Source organism: Homo sapiens, chromosome 19 (genome assembly GCF_000001405.40).
Source record: "Homo sapiens chromosome 19, GRCh38.p14 Primary Assembly".
Taxonomy (NCBI): domain Eukaryota; kingdom Metazoa; phylum Chordata; class Mammalia; order Primates; family Hominidae; genus Homo; species Homo sapiens.
The window spans coordinates 16,930,125-16,947,341 of record NC_000019.10 but is presented as its reverse complement, the minus strand read 5'-3'; the positions used below and the strand labels follow the sequence as shown (position 1 = coordinate 16,947,341).

At 47.5% G+C, this 17,217-nt stretch overlaps 1 protein-coding gene across 14 annotated transcripts in view; it reads left to right on the top strand.

The window, feature by feature from the left end:
- CPAMD8 (C3 and PZP like alpha-2-macroglobulin domain containing 8) overlaps positions 1–17,217 on the top strand; it is a 133,860-nt gene that overhangs the window by 79,469 nt on the left and 37,174 nt on the right. For all 14 annotated transcript variants that reach the window (XM_011527917.2, XM_047438612.1, XM_011527922.2 and 11 more), the window contains 3 exons: positions 115–268; positions 1,663–1,793; positions 8,896–8,947. In XM_011527917.2, coding sequence (XP_011526219.1) covers positions 115–268; positions 1,663–1,793; positions 8,896–8,947 — 337 coding nt within the window. The remainder of the gene's footprint in view (positions 1–114; positions 269–1,662; positions 1,794–8,895; positions 8,948–17,217) is intronic.

The following is a 17,217-nucleotide window of genomic DNA, read 5'->3' as shown; positions in this document are numbered from 1 at the left end:
TGGGAGGCTGACAAGTCTGGTGTGTGCAGTGAGTGGTGGGATGTGTGTTGGGCCTCCAGGCACTGGGAGGGGGTCTGGATTCCAGGCGCCATGAGCCAATGCCACCCTCTGCAGGTGTACATGAAGCTCTCGGTTCCCAAGGGCATCCAGTTTGTTGGGCATCCTGGCAAACGCCATGTGACCAAGAAGATGTGTGTGGCCCCCGGGGAGGCTGAGCCCATCTGGGTCGTTCTGTCCTTCAGCGACCTGGGACTCAACAACATCACGGGTGAGGACCCCACAGTTCTTGGGGTGTCCCCCCTCTCCAGGCCACAAAAGTGTCCTGGCATTGACCCGAGTTGGGGATGAGGGGTGGATGGGGCAGCAGGTAAGGTCAGGACTGTCCCAAGGAAAATGGGACAGCAACTGGGGCAAGCAGGACAGAAGGAATGGGCCCAGGAGGAGTGGGGAGGCAAGCCCTGGGGTCTCACCTGTTGGGGGAGCTGGGCTCTTAAGGTGCCAACCCAGTGTAGCACACACACATGCAGACATGCATACACACACAAATCCACACACACGCCCACATGTGTAGACATGCACACACACAAATCCACACACACACGTCCACATGTGTAGACATGCATACACACACCACAAATCCACACACACACCCACGTGTAGACATGCATATACACACACACAAATCCACACACATGTCCCCATGTGTAGACATGCATACACACACCACAAATCCACACACACACGCCCACGTGTAGACGTGCATATACACACACACAAATCCACACACACGCCCACATGTGTAGACATGCATTCACACACACACACAAATCCACACACACATGCCCACATGTGTAGACATGCATACACACAGATCCACACACATGCCCACATGTGTAGACATGCATTCACACACACAAATCCACACACATGCCCACATGTGTAGACATGCATATACACACACACAAATCCACACACACACACCCCCACGTGTAGACATACATACATATACAAACAAATCCACACACGCACATGCCTGCATGTGTAGACATGCATCACACACACGAATCCACACACACACATGCCCACATGTGTAGACATGCATCACACACAAATCCACACACACAGACACATGCCTGCACATGCAGACATGCACACACACACACAAATCATACACACACACATGCCCACATGTGCAGATATGCATTGCACACACGAACCTGTACAAACACATGCACACACATACACACATGCATATACACATACAAACTTGTACACACAAACATGGAAAAATGCACACACATGCATATACACACAAACACACGTACAGATACACACATGCATATGCACACACATATTTGTACACACACAAATGCACACACAAACTCGTGCACACAAATGCACACACGTGCATATGCACAAACTCGTACACACAAACACATGTACAAGTGCATGCATATGCACACATGAGCCTGTACATTCAAACACATGCATACATGTGCAGACATACACACTTGCATGCATGCACACATCTGCATATACACACACACATGCACACACACACACATGCATGCATGCACACACATCTGGGATAAGGATAGGGATGGGACAGCCCCCATCTTGGGTGGAGACCTGTTCTGAGACCAAGACATCAAATTTCTGCAGCCAAAGCCCTTGCTTACGGAGACACAAATTGCTGCCGGGATGGGAGGTCCAGCAAACACCCTGAGGAGAATCACGCCGACAGGAGGGTCCCCATCGGGGTGGATCACGTCAGGCGCAGTGTGATGGTTGAGGTAAGGCCGTGTCCTCATCTCTGGTGCTTAGCCAGGGCCTCATTCCTTCAGCCATGAAGCTGGGCCCAGCTGGAGTGTGTGGTCTGAGGCTGAGCCAGGGCCTGGGCAGCCTTCACGGGTTGTGCTTGAGAGCTCAGGTGCCTGGACTTTCGGGTACTTCCTTGTTAGAGGATCATGGTAGTCCGTTCCCTCCCTAAAGCGCAGAGTGGGCTTCGGTAAAGCAGCTTGGGACTCTTCAGGGGCTGCAGCAAGTGCTCCCTGACCCCTGGGTGAACTATTTAGGAAGACCATGTCCCTCATCTCGTGCTTGTCATAGGCATTTATGGGGACCATGACTCAGCATTTGGGGCATTGTCATTGGATGGCCTGTGTAGGAAGGACACAGAGCTGCAGGGGGCAGAGGCAGGCGCCAGGATCTTGCAGACCCCCAGCTATGAATCCAGGATTGGCCACTTACCCATGATCTCGGGAAGCATCCTGGCTTTCCAGCCCCGCTCTGTAAGACGAGGGGCTCACCTTCATAAGATGGGGTGGGAAGCCAGAGATGACACACAGATGTCTCAGGGCTGAGCATGCAGCAGCCACCATGCCTCATCTTTTCTTGGCTGCTTGGACACATCAGAGCCCTACTGAGGCTCCATTTGGTGCCGCACCAACAGCCCCTAACAGCAGCCCGAAGGGACTCACATTCCCCAGAGGCCCAGCTGCAAACAGCTGCTCTCCCTCCCTGCTGGGATCCTGCTGGCCCTGAACACAAGTGGCTTCTGTCAGCACCAGGAGTCATGTGCCCACTGGGCAGAACTCCGGAGCGGTGACAGTGGACAGGTCACCGCTGTAGTGTCGTTGATGTGATGTGATGGATTCCTTGGGGACAAGAGTGCTGTCAGGTGGGGACCGAGATCTCTGTGAGCCAGCAGGGTGGGAGGGTCCAGATGGGGAAATGCAGAGACCCCCAGTCACCCTTTGCCCAGCCAGGGCATCCTCCCTGGGCCACAGCCTGCCCTCCTAAGGCCCAAGAAGGAGGCAGCGAGCCCCTCCGAGCTGCAGAACCTGGAGGCCTGGCGTTCTTGCCTCCTCCCCTTACAGAAGGGATTTCTCAATGCACACAGGGGGACTCTTGAGGGTCTCCTTCCCTGGAGCCTTTCCTCCCATCCATGCCGCAGAACTGTCTCTGCACCTGCAGTATCCACTTGTCCGGCTTCCTGGAGGCAGCTCTGGGGAAAGATACAGGCATCAGAAGACTTGAAATGTTGATGCAAAAGATGAAGCTACAATTAGAAAAGCAATTTATGAAACAAGAGGCACCAGGATGTGTGGCTTGATAAAGCAGCAAAATGCTCCTCCTACCTCTTCCCACCGGAGGACTGTGGGCGCCACCAGCTGAGATGGACTTAGGAGCAGGAAGCTGAATACGATGCATGGGCCGGTGGGGAATCATCATCTGTGCACGGCCCATCATGGGCACTGTACCAGGGTGGGGATGGCTTGGCAGGTGCAGGGAGTACGGACACCGCTCTGCCTTGCTCCCCTGCTGGCCTGCAAGGGGACTAAGATCCTCTATATCTGCTGGGAGGCTGAGAGTGTTCAATCATCTCCACGTGAATTTCACTTCAGTGAAATTCCAAGGAGCAAAGAGGAGGCAGAAATAATTCGGGCCTCACTGGAGTGATAGGAGGGCTGGCCAGCCAGGGAGTGGGCTCTGGAGTGAGAGCCCCAGATTCGGATGGAAGCGTTGGATGGTTAAATGAGAGTGTTGGTGGAAAGCCTCTCATGGTATCTGGCCTGTCTACTAAAGACCCACGTGCTGTTGTCACACAGGCATTTATAACAGTCAACTGGGGAATCCCAAACCAAAGTCAGGGATACACTTTCTATTTTAGGAAATGTCCATCAGCTGATGAATTAGAGAAATGAATGTGGGTCAATGAAATGCAATTCCTCAATGCAATGGAATATTATTCAGCTGTGAAATGGAGTGAAGGGCTGGGTGTGGTGGCTCACACCTGTAATCCTTGTGCTTTGGGAGGCTGAGGCAGGAGGATGGCTTGAGGCCAGAAGTTGGAGGCTGCAGTGAGCTATGATTATGCCACTATACTCAGCCTGGAAAACAGAGCCAGACCCTGTCTAAATGAATGAATGAATGAATAAATAAATAAATAAATAAAGCACTGATCCATGCTACAACGTGGATAAACCTAGAAAACGTGATACCGAGTGAAAGAAGACAGACACAGGCCGGGCACGGTGGCTCACGCCTATAGTCCCAGCACTTTGGGAGGCCAAGGTGGGCAGACCACCTGAAGTCAAGAGTTTGAGACCAGCCTGGGCAACATGGCAAAACCCTGTCCCTACTAAAAATACAAAAATTAGCTGGGCGTGGTGGCACACACCTGTAGTCCCAGCTCCTCAGGAGGCTGAGGAGGGAGGATTGCTTGAGTCCAGGAGGTGAGAGTTACAGTAAGCAACAGAGGGACTCTTGCAACACTGCACTCTAGCCTGGGTGAGAGAGCCAGACCCTGTCTCAAAAAAAAAAAAAAGAAAAAAGAAAAAAGAAAAAAGTCAAACACAAAAGGCCACATGGTGTATGATTCAATTTATATGAAATGCCCAGAACAGGCAAATCCAGAGAGGCCGAAAGGAGTGAAGCACAGATCTGTACTACAAGGCTTTAGAAATGCCCAGCCGGAGCTACTATTCGTGCATCATGCAGGCTCCGTGTTCTGAGATCTGGCCCCAAGCCAGAAAGAGCACAGAGACAAAGGAGGTTGGAACCAGGATGGACAAGTGCAGCCCGAGATGGGCTAACACTCAAGGAGCAAACCCAAGCCACGGCAGAGGGGCAGAGTGGAAGAGATGGGCATCATTGAGGAAGCCAGCTGTGGGGTCCTCTGTGAGCTGAGTCAGCAGAGGTTTCTTGGGACCCAGAAACCATGAGGGGCCCCTGGATTTGTGCCCAGGGCCCCAGCCAATGGTCAGCCAGAGGCACAGTGCATCCTTGTTGTATTAGTTCGTTCTTACATTGCTATAAAGAAATACCTGAGACTGGGTTATTTATTTATTAGTTTATTTATATTATTACTAGTTTTGGGGATGGAGTCTCACTCTGTCGCCCAGGCTGGAGTGCAGTGGTGCAATCTCAGCTCACTGCAACCTCCACCTCCCAGGTTCCAGTGATTCTTCTTTCTCAGCCTCCTGAGTAGCGGGGACTACAGGCATGCACCACCACACCTGGCTAATTTTTGTATTTTTAGTAGAGACGGGGTTTCACCATGTTGGCCAGGTTGGTCTTGAACGCCTGACCTCAGGTGACCCGCCCGCCTCGGTCTCCCAAAGTGCTGGGATTACAGGCATGAGCCACTGTGCCCGACCATGACTGGATAATTAGTAAAGAAAAGAGGTTTAATTGGCTCACAGCTCTGTAGGCTGTACAGGAAGCATGGCTGGGGAGGCCTCAGGAAACTTACAATCATGGCAGGAGGTGAAGGAGAAGCAGGCGTGTCTTACATGGCTGGAGCAGGAGGAGGAGGGAAGGGGAGGTGCTTCACAGTTTTGTTGTTGTTGTTCTTGTTGTTGTTTTGAGATGGAGTCTCGCTCTGTCGCCACGCTGGAGTGCAATGGCATGATCTCAGCTCATTGCAACCTCCAGCCTCCTTGTTCAAGCGAGTCTCCTGCCTCAGCCTCCCGAATAGCTGGGATTGCAGGCACCTGCCACCATGCCCGGATAATTTTTATATTTTTAGTAGAGGCAGGGTTTCACCATGTTGGCCAGGCTGGTCTCAATCTCTTGACCTCGTGATCCACTCACCTCGGCCTCCCAAAGTGCTGGGATTACAGGCGTGAGCCACCGTGCCCAGCCGCTTCACAGTTTCAAACAACCAGATCTCATGAGAACTCACCCATTATCACGAGAACAGCAAGGGGGAAATCCGCCCCCATGATCCAATCACCTTCCACCAGGCCCCTCTTCCAACATTGAGGATTACAATTCAACATGAGATTTGGGTGGGAACACAAATCCAAACCATATCACTCACCACCAACAGAATGGATCTGGTTCTGTCTCTATGGATTTGCCCACGGGACATTTTGTATCAATGGAATCATACAACATGTGGCCTTTTGAGTCTGGCTTCTCTCACTCAGCACAATGTGTTCAGGGTTCATCCACGGTGCAGCATAGATACGTGCTTGCTTCTATGGCTCAATCATATTCCACTGGATGGATGAACCACATTTTCTTTATCTGTTCACCTATGGTGGACATTTAGGTTATGCACAATTTTTAGGATTATGTAGCTGTTAAAAAGCTACCATGAGGCCAGGCACAGTGGCTCATGCCTGTAATCCCAGCACTTTGGGAGGCCAAGGCAGGTGGATCACCTGAGGCCAGGAGTTCGAGACCAGCCTGGCCAACATGGTGAAACCCCGTCTCTACTAAACTATACAAAAAATTAGCCAGGTGTGGTGGCAGGCACCTGTAATCCCAGCTACTTGGGAGGCTGAGACAGGAGAATTGCTTGAACCTGGGAGGCAGAGGTTGCAGTGAGCTGAGACTGCGCCACTGGACTCCAGCCTGGGCGACAGAGCGAGATTCCATCTCAAAAACAAAAAACAAAAAACTACCGTGGGTTACAATGGCCTAGCCCTGCCCATTGCTCCAAATCCCTTTCCCGACAAGGGGCCAGGCAGGTAGATGGGGGGTTACTGAGGCCTAAGCAATGCTTCTGGGGCCTTCCCTGGTGCCCCCTAGCTTAGCAAATGACCCGTGGGTGCCACATCGGGCCTAGCAGGTGTGAGATGAAATCCTGGCAGGTGGACGGCTCGATGTAGCCTGAGATGGTGTCCTCAGCCTCTCAGCACCAACCCTGGGAACTTTACTAGGAAGTGGATGTGAGTGGGGACAAGCATCTCCTGGACTCATCAGTATAGACACATGACAATTTCAAGGAGAGCTTTGTAATGAAAGTAGGTAAGGATGAGAAAATATAACAAGAACTGACTGTCAGTAGCACTGAGAAGACTCCAGACCCTTTCTGAAGCATGATAACCCCGTCACAAGGTGAAGTTGGGGGTCTTTAACCCCCATCTTAGAGATGAAGAAATGGGGGCCCAGAGAGGTTGAGTGAGTGGCCCTAAGCCAGTCAGCAGGAATGGTTGTATTAGGATTCACCAGAGAAACAGAAATCCGCACCCCCTACATACATAGAATGAGATTTGTTATATAAACACACTCCCACACATACATCTGTAGGATAGGTTTATCATAAGGTACTGGCTCATGCGCTTATGGAAGCCGAGAAGTTTACAAGCTGCCCTCTGCAAGATAGAGACCCAGGAGGCCGGGCGTGGTGGCTCACGCCTGTAATCCTAGCACTTTGGGAGGCTGAGGCAGGCAGATCACCTGAGGTCAGGAGTTCGAGACTAGCCTGGCCAACATAGTGAAACCCTGTCTCTACTAAAAGTACAAAAATTAGCTGGGCCTGGTGGTGGTGCCTGTAATCCCTGCTACTCAGGAGGCTGAGGCAGGAAGATCATTTGAACTCAGGAGGCGGAGGTTGTAGTGAACCGAGATCGCGCCATTGCACTCCAGCCTGGGCAACAGAGTGAGACTCCATCTAAAAAAAAACAAAAACAAAAACAAAAAAAACCCAAAACAACAACAACAACAACAAAAAAGCTAAAGACCCAGTAAAGCCAGTGGTGTAGCTGGAAGGCCTGAGAGCTGGAGAACCAATGGTGTAGATTCCAGCCCAGGTCTGAAGGCCTGGGAACCAGGAGCAGGAGAAGATCAATGTCCCAGCTCAAGCAGTTGGGCAGAGAGTGGAACCAATCTTCCTCTGTCTTGTTCTATCAGGAGACGTTTAACAGCTTGGATGGTGCCCACTCACATTGGAGAGGGCCGTGTGCCCTACTCAGTCCTCCAACACCAATGCTGATCTCTTGCAGAAGCACTTCCTGGACGCGCCCAGATAGAGTGTTTAACCAGCTACCTGGGCATCCTGGAGCCCAGTCCAGTTGACACCTAAAATTGACCATCCTAGGCTGGGCACGGTGTCTCATGCCTGTAATCCCAGCACTTTCGGAGGCCGAGGCAGGCGGATCGCTTGAGGTCAGGAGCTTGAGACTAGCCTGGCCAACATGGCAAAATCCCATCTCCACTAAAAATATAAAAAATTAGCTTGGCGTGGTGGCATGTGCCTGTAGTCCCAGCTACTTGGGAGGCTGAGGCATGAGACTTGCTTAAACCCAGGAGGCAGAAGTTTCAATGAGCTGAGATCACTCACACCACTGCACTCCAGCCTGGGCGACAGAGTGAGACTCTGTCCATAGATAGATAGATAGATACATAGATAGATAGATAAATAAATAAATAAATAAATAAATAAATAAATAAATAAAATTGACCATCCTAATGGGGAAAGGGGCTGCCAGGCCTTCTGGTTGCAGCTGCCCCATGTTAACCCTTTGAGGTCTGATCCAAGGGCCCCCACAGGGGCCGTGTTGGTCAGACCAAGCTCCGCAAGGTATAGGGGGTTAAATTCTGGGCATCCCTTTTTAAGAGACTGAGACAGCTGCCTTCTGGTATTTGGGGTCATCCATAGAAGAAGCAGAAATGAGAACCCAGATGGAAGAGACAGGAGACAAGAGATGTGGTAGACAGACAGTGGGACGGAGACTCGTCCTTGGCAGATGCAGGAGCCCCTCTCACAGTGCTCACGGATGTCAAATGAGGCCTCAGAACCTGGCTTATTTGTCCTCATGATGTCCTCTGCCCAGAGGGAGATGGGAGGAAGAGGGTGGCTGGGAGGGTAGGGTAGGGATGTGGGCCCCATGACAAGTTTAGAAGCAGTTGGTGAGTTCCTTTTGGCCAGCAAGGGGGAGCAGCCTCAGTTTCCCCATTGGAGCCTGGGAAGTGGGTGGCCCTGTCCTGCTCCACGCACCTGTGATCTTGGTGTGACCGTGCTGATACCACGTAAAACCTGGAAGCACAATTATGTGGTCTGGACTTGAAGTCATTGCTGTGGGAGAGCCAGCTGCTCCGCTGAGCTGACCATCCCCCTCACCGCCCCAGCACTCAGTTCTCCTTGTTTCTTTGTTTCAGGCGGAAGGAGTCCCCCGGGCGTACACCTACAGCGCATTCTTCTGTCCCAGTGGTGAGTCCCCCGTGCCCATTCTGCTAAGGTGTGGCCACCTGGCTGGGTCAGGACTTTGGCCTTCCCCCTTTCCCACACTGTGGGGGCTGTCCCGCTGCAAAGTGAGCACCTGCCCTTCCCCTGGGAAGGGGGCACTGTGGTTTAGGAAGAACGATGTCCCAGCTGGGGACAGGCAGAGCCAGTGAGGGTGGGGCATGAATGAATGAATACACAGGGAATGAATACTCAGGGAATGAATACACAGGGAATACGCAGGGAATGAATACACAGGAATGTGCACTGCAGGCACCAAGCAAGAAGGTTAGGCTGCCCGGGCACGGTGGCTCACACCTGTAATCCCAGCACTTTGGGATCCTGAGGAAGGTGGATCATTTGAAGTCAGGAGTTTGAGACCAGCCTGGCCAACGTGGTGAAACTTATCAATACTAAAAGTACAAAGTTGGCCGGGCGCGGTAGGCTCACGCCTATAATCCCAGCACTCTGGGAGGCCGAGGCGGGTGGATCACAAGGTTAGGAGTTTGAGACCAAGCCTGACCAACATGGTGAAACCCCATCTCTACTAAAAATACAAAAAATTAGCTGGTCGTGGTGGCACGCACCTGTAATCCCAGCTGCTCAGGAGGCTGAGGCAGGAGAATCACTTGAACCGGGGAGGCGGAGGTTGCAGTGAGCCGAGATCACGCCATTGCACTCCAGCCTGGGTGACAGAGCGAGACTCCAACTCAAAAAAAAAAAAAAAAAAAAGTATGAAGTTAGCCAGGTGTGGTTGTGTGTGCCTGTAATCCCAGCTACTTGGGAGGTTGAGACAGCAGAATCTCTTGAACCCAAGAGGTGGAGGTTGCAGTGAGCCAAGTTTGCATCACAGCACTCCAGCCTGGGTGACAGAGTGAGACTCCGTCTCAAAACAACAACAACAACACATGAGGCTGGACCTAAAGATCACACCTTACACGAGAATGAACCCTAAATGGATCATGGACTTAAACGTAAAACCATAGTGCTTTTAGAAAAAAACACAGGACAGCCTGGGCAACATGGTGAAATCCCATCTCTACAAAAAATTAAACAAACAAGCAAACAAGCAAACAAAAACTTAGCCAGACGTGGTGGTGCACGCCTGTAGTCCCAGCTACTTGGGAGGTGGAGGTGGGAGGATTGCTTGAGCCCAGGAGGTGGAGGTTGTAGTGAGCCTTTATTGTACCACTACACTCCAGCCTGGTTGACAGAGAGAAACCCTGTCTCAAAAAAATGAAGTAAGGAAGGGAGGGAGGGATGGAGGGAGGGAAGGAAGAAAGGAAGGAAGGAGGAAGGAAGGAAGGAAGGAAGGAAGGCAGGAGGGAAGGAAGGAAGGGAGAAAGGAAAGAGGAAGGGAAGGAAAGGAAGGAAAAAAGGAAGGAAGGAAGGAAGGAGAAAGAAAAGAGGGAAAAAAAGATCTGCCACCTAGAGCCAAGCATATAGTTTTTAGACTTGAAAAGTACAATCTATAAAAGGAAACATTAATAAATAAACCTCTTCAAACTTTAAAAGTTTTTTTCTCCACAATAAACCCTGTTAAGGGAGGAACTACAGTCTACAGACTGGGAGAAAATACATTTGCAAACCTTATCAAATTACTGGTTTTTAGAATATATAATGAAGTCTCCAATTCAGTAGTGAATAAAACAAACCATCTAATTAAAAGTGGGCAAGGCCGACTGTGGTGGCTCACACCTGTAATCCCAGCACTTTGGGAGGCCGAGGCAGGTGGATCACTTGAGGTCAAGAGTTCGAGACCAGCCTGACCAGCACGGTGAAACTCCATCTCTACAAAAAATACAAAAAAAAATTAGCCAGGCATGGTGGCAGGTGCCTGTGGTCCCAGCTACTTAGGAGGCTGAGGCATGAGAATAGCTTGAACCTGGGAGGCAGAGGTTGCAGTGAGCCAAGATTGCGCCACTGCACTCCAGCCTGGGTGACAGAATGAGACTCCATCTCAACAACAACAACAAACAAACAAACAAAAAAGTGGGCAAAAGAAATAACCAGACATTTCACCAGAGGAGACATACAGATGGCAAATTGCACATAAAAAGATGCTCAACATCATTTATCATTAGGGAAATGCAAATTACAGCATAATGACATACCCCTACACACCACCTATAAGAATGGCTAAGATTAAAAATAGAGCTGGGCGCAGTGGCTCATGCCTATAATCCCAGCACTTTGAGAGGCCAAGGTGGGTGGAGAACTTGAGTCCAGGAGTTCAAGACCAGCCTGGCCAACATGATGAGACCCTGTCTCTACAAAAATACAAAATATTAGCTGGGCATGGTGGCTTGTGCCTGTAGTCCTAGCTACTTGGGAGGCTGAGGAGGGAGGATTGCTTGACCCTGAGAGGCTGAGGTGGCAGTGAACTGTGATGGCACCACCACACTCCAGCCTAGGCGACAGAGTGAGTTGCTATCTCAAAAAAAAAAAAAAATAGTGAACACTAAATGATGGCAAAGATGTGGAGAAAGTGGACCACTCAAACTTTGCTGGTGGAAATGTAAAATGGTACAGCCACCTTTGGTAGTTTTTAAAAACAGTTTGGTGGTTTCTTAAAAAACTGAGCATGCAACTACCCCACCACTCAGTAGTTGTACTCCTGAGTATTGATCTCAGAGAAACAAAGACTTATGTTCACACAAAAACTTGTACATAGATGTTCATATTAGCTTTATTTGTAGTAGCCCCAAACTGGAAACAGCCCGGATGTCCTTCAGCAGGTGAATGACTTAACAAACTGTGCATTCAAGCCTTGGAATACTACTCATTAATAAAAAGGACAAACTATTGATACATAAAACAACTTGGATGAATCTTGAATGAAGGGAATTGAGTGGGAAGAAAATCCCAAAAGATACATGAATTATTCCATTTATATTTTTGAAATGACAAAATTTTATAAATGGAGGTCATATTAGTGGTTGCCAGGGGTTAGGGAGAGGGAGAAGGAAGTAGGGGATGGATATGGTTATAAATGGGCAACGGTGAGAATCTCTGTGGTGTTGGGAATGTTTAGTACCTTGACTGTGGTAGTGGATTCGTGTACCTACATATGTGATAAAATTACATGGCACTCACATAAAAAGTACAAATAGAATTGGAGAAAGCTGAATAAGATTGATGGATTTTATCAATGTCAATATTCCTGATTGTGATTTTGCAAGATGTTACCATGGGGAGAGGGGGAAACGGGTACAGAGAGCTCTCTGAATTATTTATAACAATTGCATGTGATTATCTTAGCAAAACTTTAAGTTAAAAACATTTTTAAAAGCAATACATATGTACAAATACCATATGATTCCACTTATATGAGGCACTTAGAGTAGTCAAAATCATAGAGAAAGAAAGTAGAATGGTGTTTACAAGAGGCTGGGGGAGGAGGGAATAGGGAGCGAGTGCTTAATGTAATAATGGGTGCAGAGTTACAGTTTTACAGGATGAAAAGAGTTCTTGAAATGGGTGATGGTGGTGGTGGTTGCACAACATTGAGTGTACTTAATGCCATTGAACTCTACCCTGAAAAATGGTTAAGATGGTACATTTTATGTTATATATATTTTACCACAATTAAAACATTGTAAAATGAAAAGCAATACATGTGTATTGCAGAAATTTGGGAAGGTAGAAGGAAAAGCATCTCCTCTGGTTCACACCCAAAGAAGACTTCCTTTGACATTTTGTTGTATTTGCTTTCATAGGGTTGATTATTGTTTGTTTTAACATAGTTGTTACTTCACGCACTATGTAATTATATATGCTGCATTTTTCACTTAACACATTCTGAGCACTTTTTCTGGTTAGTATAAAGTCTTTATGAACAGCATTTCAAGACAGCCTCAGAATGTTTCATAATAACTGTTCCATAATTTAACCATTATGGAGCATTTTAGAACATGTTATGGAACATTTTGGAACATATTACTGGACTTTCTTATAGTACTTCTACTTTTTAATATTGTAATTAACACTTTTATGAACATATTTATATGAATAGTAAAGGCAATAATATTTTAAATATGTTTATTGAGGCATAATTGACATACAATAAATTACACACATTTTAAATGTGCAATTTGGTGAGTTTTAACATATATGTACGTCTGTGAAACCATTGTCACAACTAAGATAACAAACATTTCCTTCACCTCCCAAGAGTCATGCCCGTTTGTAATCTCTCACTCCTGTTTACTCCATCACTAGGGACCACTGAGCTGCTTTCTGTCTCTGTAGATTAGTTTGTATTTTCCAGAATGTTATATAAATGGAATCATGTCGTATGTATTCTTTTTGTCTGGTTTCTTTCAGGATAATAATTTTGAGATTCATCCATGGTGCATGTGTCAATAATTCAATCATTTTAAGGCTGAGTAGGATTCCATTGAATGGATATATCACAATGTATTCATCCATTCATCTGTTGATGAACTTTCAAGCTGTTTCCAGTTTGGGAGTATCTCAAATAAAGCTACTATTATCATTTGTGTCTTTTCTGGGTAACATGCTTTCCTTTCTCTTGGGTCAATAGCTAGGAATGAAAGAACAGAATCATATGGTTCGTGTATGTTTAACTTTTTAAGAAACTGCCAACCTGTTTTCTAAAGTGCTCAGGCCATTTTGTATTCCCACCTGCAGTATGTGAGAGTTCCATTTCCTCCCCATCCTCACCAACATTTAGTATTGTTAGTCTTTTTACTTTTAGCCATTCTAATAGATACCCAGTGACATCTCCCTGTGGTTTCAGCTTGCATTTCCATCATGACTGATGATCTTAAGCATATTTTCATTTGCCTGTTTGCTATGAGTATGTCTTTTTTTTTGTGGAAAAACGTCTGTTCCAATCTTTTAACCTGTTCAAAATTGAGTTGTACTTTTTTTATTGCATTTTGAGATTTGAAAATATATTCTGGATACAAGTTCTTTATCAGATAAATGCTTTGCAAAAATATTTCTCCCAGACCGTGGCTTACCTTTTCATTCATTCTCTTAATTATATCTTTTGAGAAGCAGAAGTTTTTTTATATTAATTAAGTGCAATTTATTATTTTTTCTTTTTATTCATTAATGCATTTGCTATATTTAAGAAATCTTTGCTAAACCCTGTTTTTTTTTTCTCAAAATTTTGTAGTTTTAAGTTTTACACTACAAAGTGGCCATGATTCATTTTGAGTTAATTTTGGATTACCATGCAAGATATGCATCAAAGTTTATGTTTCTGCATTTGGATAGCCAACTGTGCCAGCACCATTTATTGAAAAGATTATGTTGCCCAGGCTGGTCTTGAACTCCTGGCCTCAAGTGATCTTCCTGCCTCAGCCTCCCAAAATGCTGGGATTACAGGTGTGAGCCACTGTGCCAAGCCCTCTCTTGCTGTCTTTAGAACTATCTTTTTGTCCAACCACACTGGAAAAAAGGGAAAAGAAAAAGTAAAAGAAAAAAATGATATTTTTGTCTTTTGACAGTTTGACCATAATGTGCTGTGGAGAAGACCTTTTTGAATTATACCCATTTGGAGGTGTCTGAGCTTCCTGTATCTGGATGCCTAAATCTCTTATTAGACTTGGGAAGTTTTCAGCTATTATTTTGTTAAATAGGTTTTCTACCCCTTTTGTTTTTTCTTCACTTTCTGGGACACCAAAATTTTGAGTATTTGGTTACTTTATAGTGTCCCATTTGTCATGTTGGCTTTGTTCTTTCTTTTATCTTTATTTTTGTCTGATTGGGTTATTTTAAAAGATCTGTCTTCAAGTTCTGAAATTCTTTCTTCTACTTCATCTAGTTTATTATTGAAGCTTCCTATTTTGTATTTCATTTAATGAATTCTTCAGTTTCAGAATTTGTTTGGTTCCTTTTTGAATTGTTTTTCTGACTTCTTTGTATGGTTCTTACGTGTTCTCTTTTGTCTCACTGAGCTTCTTTTATATCATTACCATTACTATTTCTTGAGACAGGATCTCACTCTGTTGCCCAGGCTGGAGTGCAGTGGCACAATCATGGCTCACTGCAGCCTTGACCTCTTGGGCCCAGGTGATCCTCCCACCTCAGACCCCCAAGAAGCTAGGACTACAAGCACATGCCACCACGCCTGGCTAATTTTTTGCATTTTTGTTAGAGATGGGGTTTCGCCATGTTGCCCAGGCTGGTCTTGAATGCCTGGCCTCACCTGCCTTGACCCTCAAAGTATTGGAATTAGAGGTGTGAGCCACCACACTCAGCTAATGTCATTATTTTGAATTATTTTTCCAAAATTACATACATTTTTTTTTTTACTGGAATCTGTTGCTCAAGAATTATTGTGTTTCTTTGGTGATGTCACGTTTCCTTGCTTTTTCACGTTTCTTGTGTTCTTACAGTGATGTCTATACGTTTGGTGTTTGGTGTAACAGTCGCTTCTTCCAATCTTTTGAATTTGCTTTCATAGAGGAAGACTTTTTCCTGAAGATCTATCTGTGGTGTTGGTTGGGTACAGCATTTAGATTGATTCTGAATGTGTATAGTAGTGTAGTCTCCATATGATTTCTTTAGCTATAAACAGCATCAGTGGTGTCTGTGATTTCCTGAGTGGCTTAGGGTGCAGTTATTAGTGGAGGCTGTGATGAAGTTTTGCTGGGGATGGGGAAGCCAGATGGACCTGTCCTCAGGTCCCAGTGTTGGCAGCAGTGGGCAAAGCATGACTTCCTTGAGCACCAGGGCATTCTACACTGGTACCAGTGTTAGTGGGTCCAGGTGGGCCAACTCTTGGACTTCCAGGAAGCTAGCTTGAATGCCAGTAGTGGCAGCGGTGGACCAGGAACATGGATAGGTTCTTGAGCCCCTGGGCAGTGGGCTTGGCATGGGCACTGGCAGTAGCAGTGGTGAGATGACCCTCCGGCTCCCAAGCAATCTGCTCTGGTGTTGGTGGTGGCTGTGACAGGCTGGGTAGGCCAACCTCCTTGCCCACAGGTGGCATAGGCAGGTGTGTGCCAGCTGTGGTGTTAGTGGCACACATTAGGTTGGGTGAGCCTGACCTCAGATGCCTAGGAGGAGCGCTCAGGTGCCGGCTGTGGTGAACTAGGCTGGGAGTCTCAAGGCCCTTGGATGGCACCCTCAGGCACTTGCGGGGACAGAGCTGGGCTGGGCCGACCTATCTCAGGCTCCCTGGTGGTGTGTGCAGTTGCTGGCTATGGTAGGCAGGGGTGGGGTGATTCTTAGGTCTCTGGTGGAATGCTCGGGTTCAGCCTTGCTACTGGGGAGGGTGCAGTTGCTTCCAGTGACAGCAGCCATATGCAGTGGCTGGGGAGCATGAGCTTTGCTCATGCTTTGGCCCCTGGCTGCAGCATCCCATAGCGGCAGTTGCTGCAGGTTGGGGAGTTAGCCCTCGGGGCACGTGAAAGTGTGCAGCAGCTTCACTGCTGGGGGCAGTGAGGTCATTGCCAATGGCTTGGGCTTCATTCCTGGTGGCAGCAGCCAGCCTTGGTGGTGGCTGTGAGCAGGGAATGTAAGTGGGGCTCCAGAGATGTGAAGATGCAGGAGCTGTTTGGCCCCCAGGCAGAATGCAGCCTGGCAGTGGCTAGGATCTCGATACGGTGCCCTGCTGTAGCTGCTTAGGGCTCAAGGGTGTGTGAGACCCAGCCTTAGCCCCCTCTCTGGAACAGTATCTTTGCACAATCTCTGGGTATCTCCCTAGGCTAGTCTGTGGCCCACGAGGATCTAGGGGCTCTCCCATGGCTAGAGCTGCTAGAGTCCACGGTGGGAATGGGGACCACGGGGGTTCACTCACCCTTTCCTCACACTGGGGAGCTACTCCCGGCCCCCAGCTGATTCCCGCCAAGCACCATGTATTATTTCCATTTCCTTCTTCGCTTTAGGTGTTTCTTGTCACTTCTCTGTTGAATTCCAGTGTTCTTAGATGAACTAGTCAAAGTGTGATGATCTACTTGTTATTTTTGTTCGTCAAGGAGGCAAGTACCAGATGCCTCTAAGTAGCCCCTCTCCCCACATAATAATTGGTGCATTTATGTTTCCTGATACTCATATCACATTGTGGTGATTCCTGTCACTTTATGGTAAGTCTCAGTGTCAGAGAGTGTGAGTTTTCCAGTTGTGTTCTTTTTTTTTTCTTTTTTTTTTGAGATGGAGTTTCACTCTTGTCGCCGATGCTGGAGTGCAGTGGCACGATCTCAGCTCACTGAAACCTCCACCTCCTGGGTTCAAGTGATTCTCCCACCTCAGCCTCCTGAGTAGCCGGGATTACAGGCACC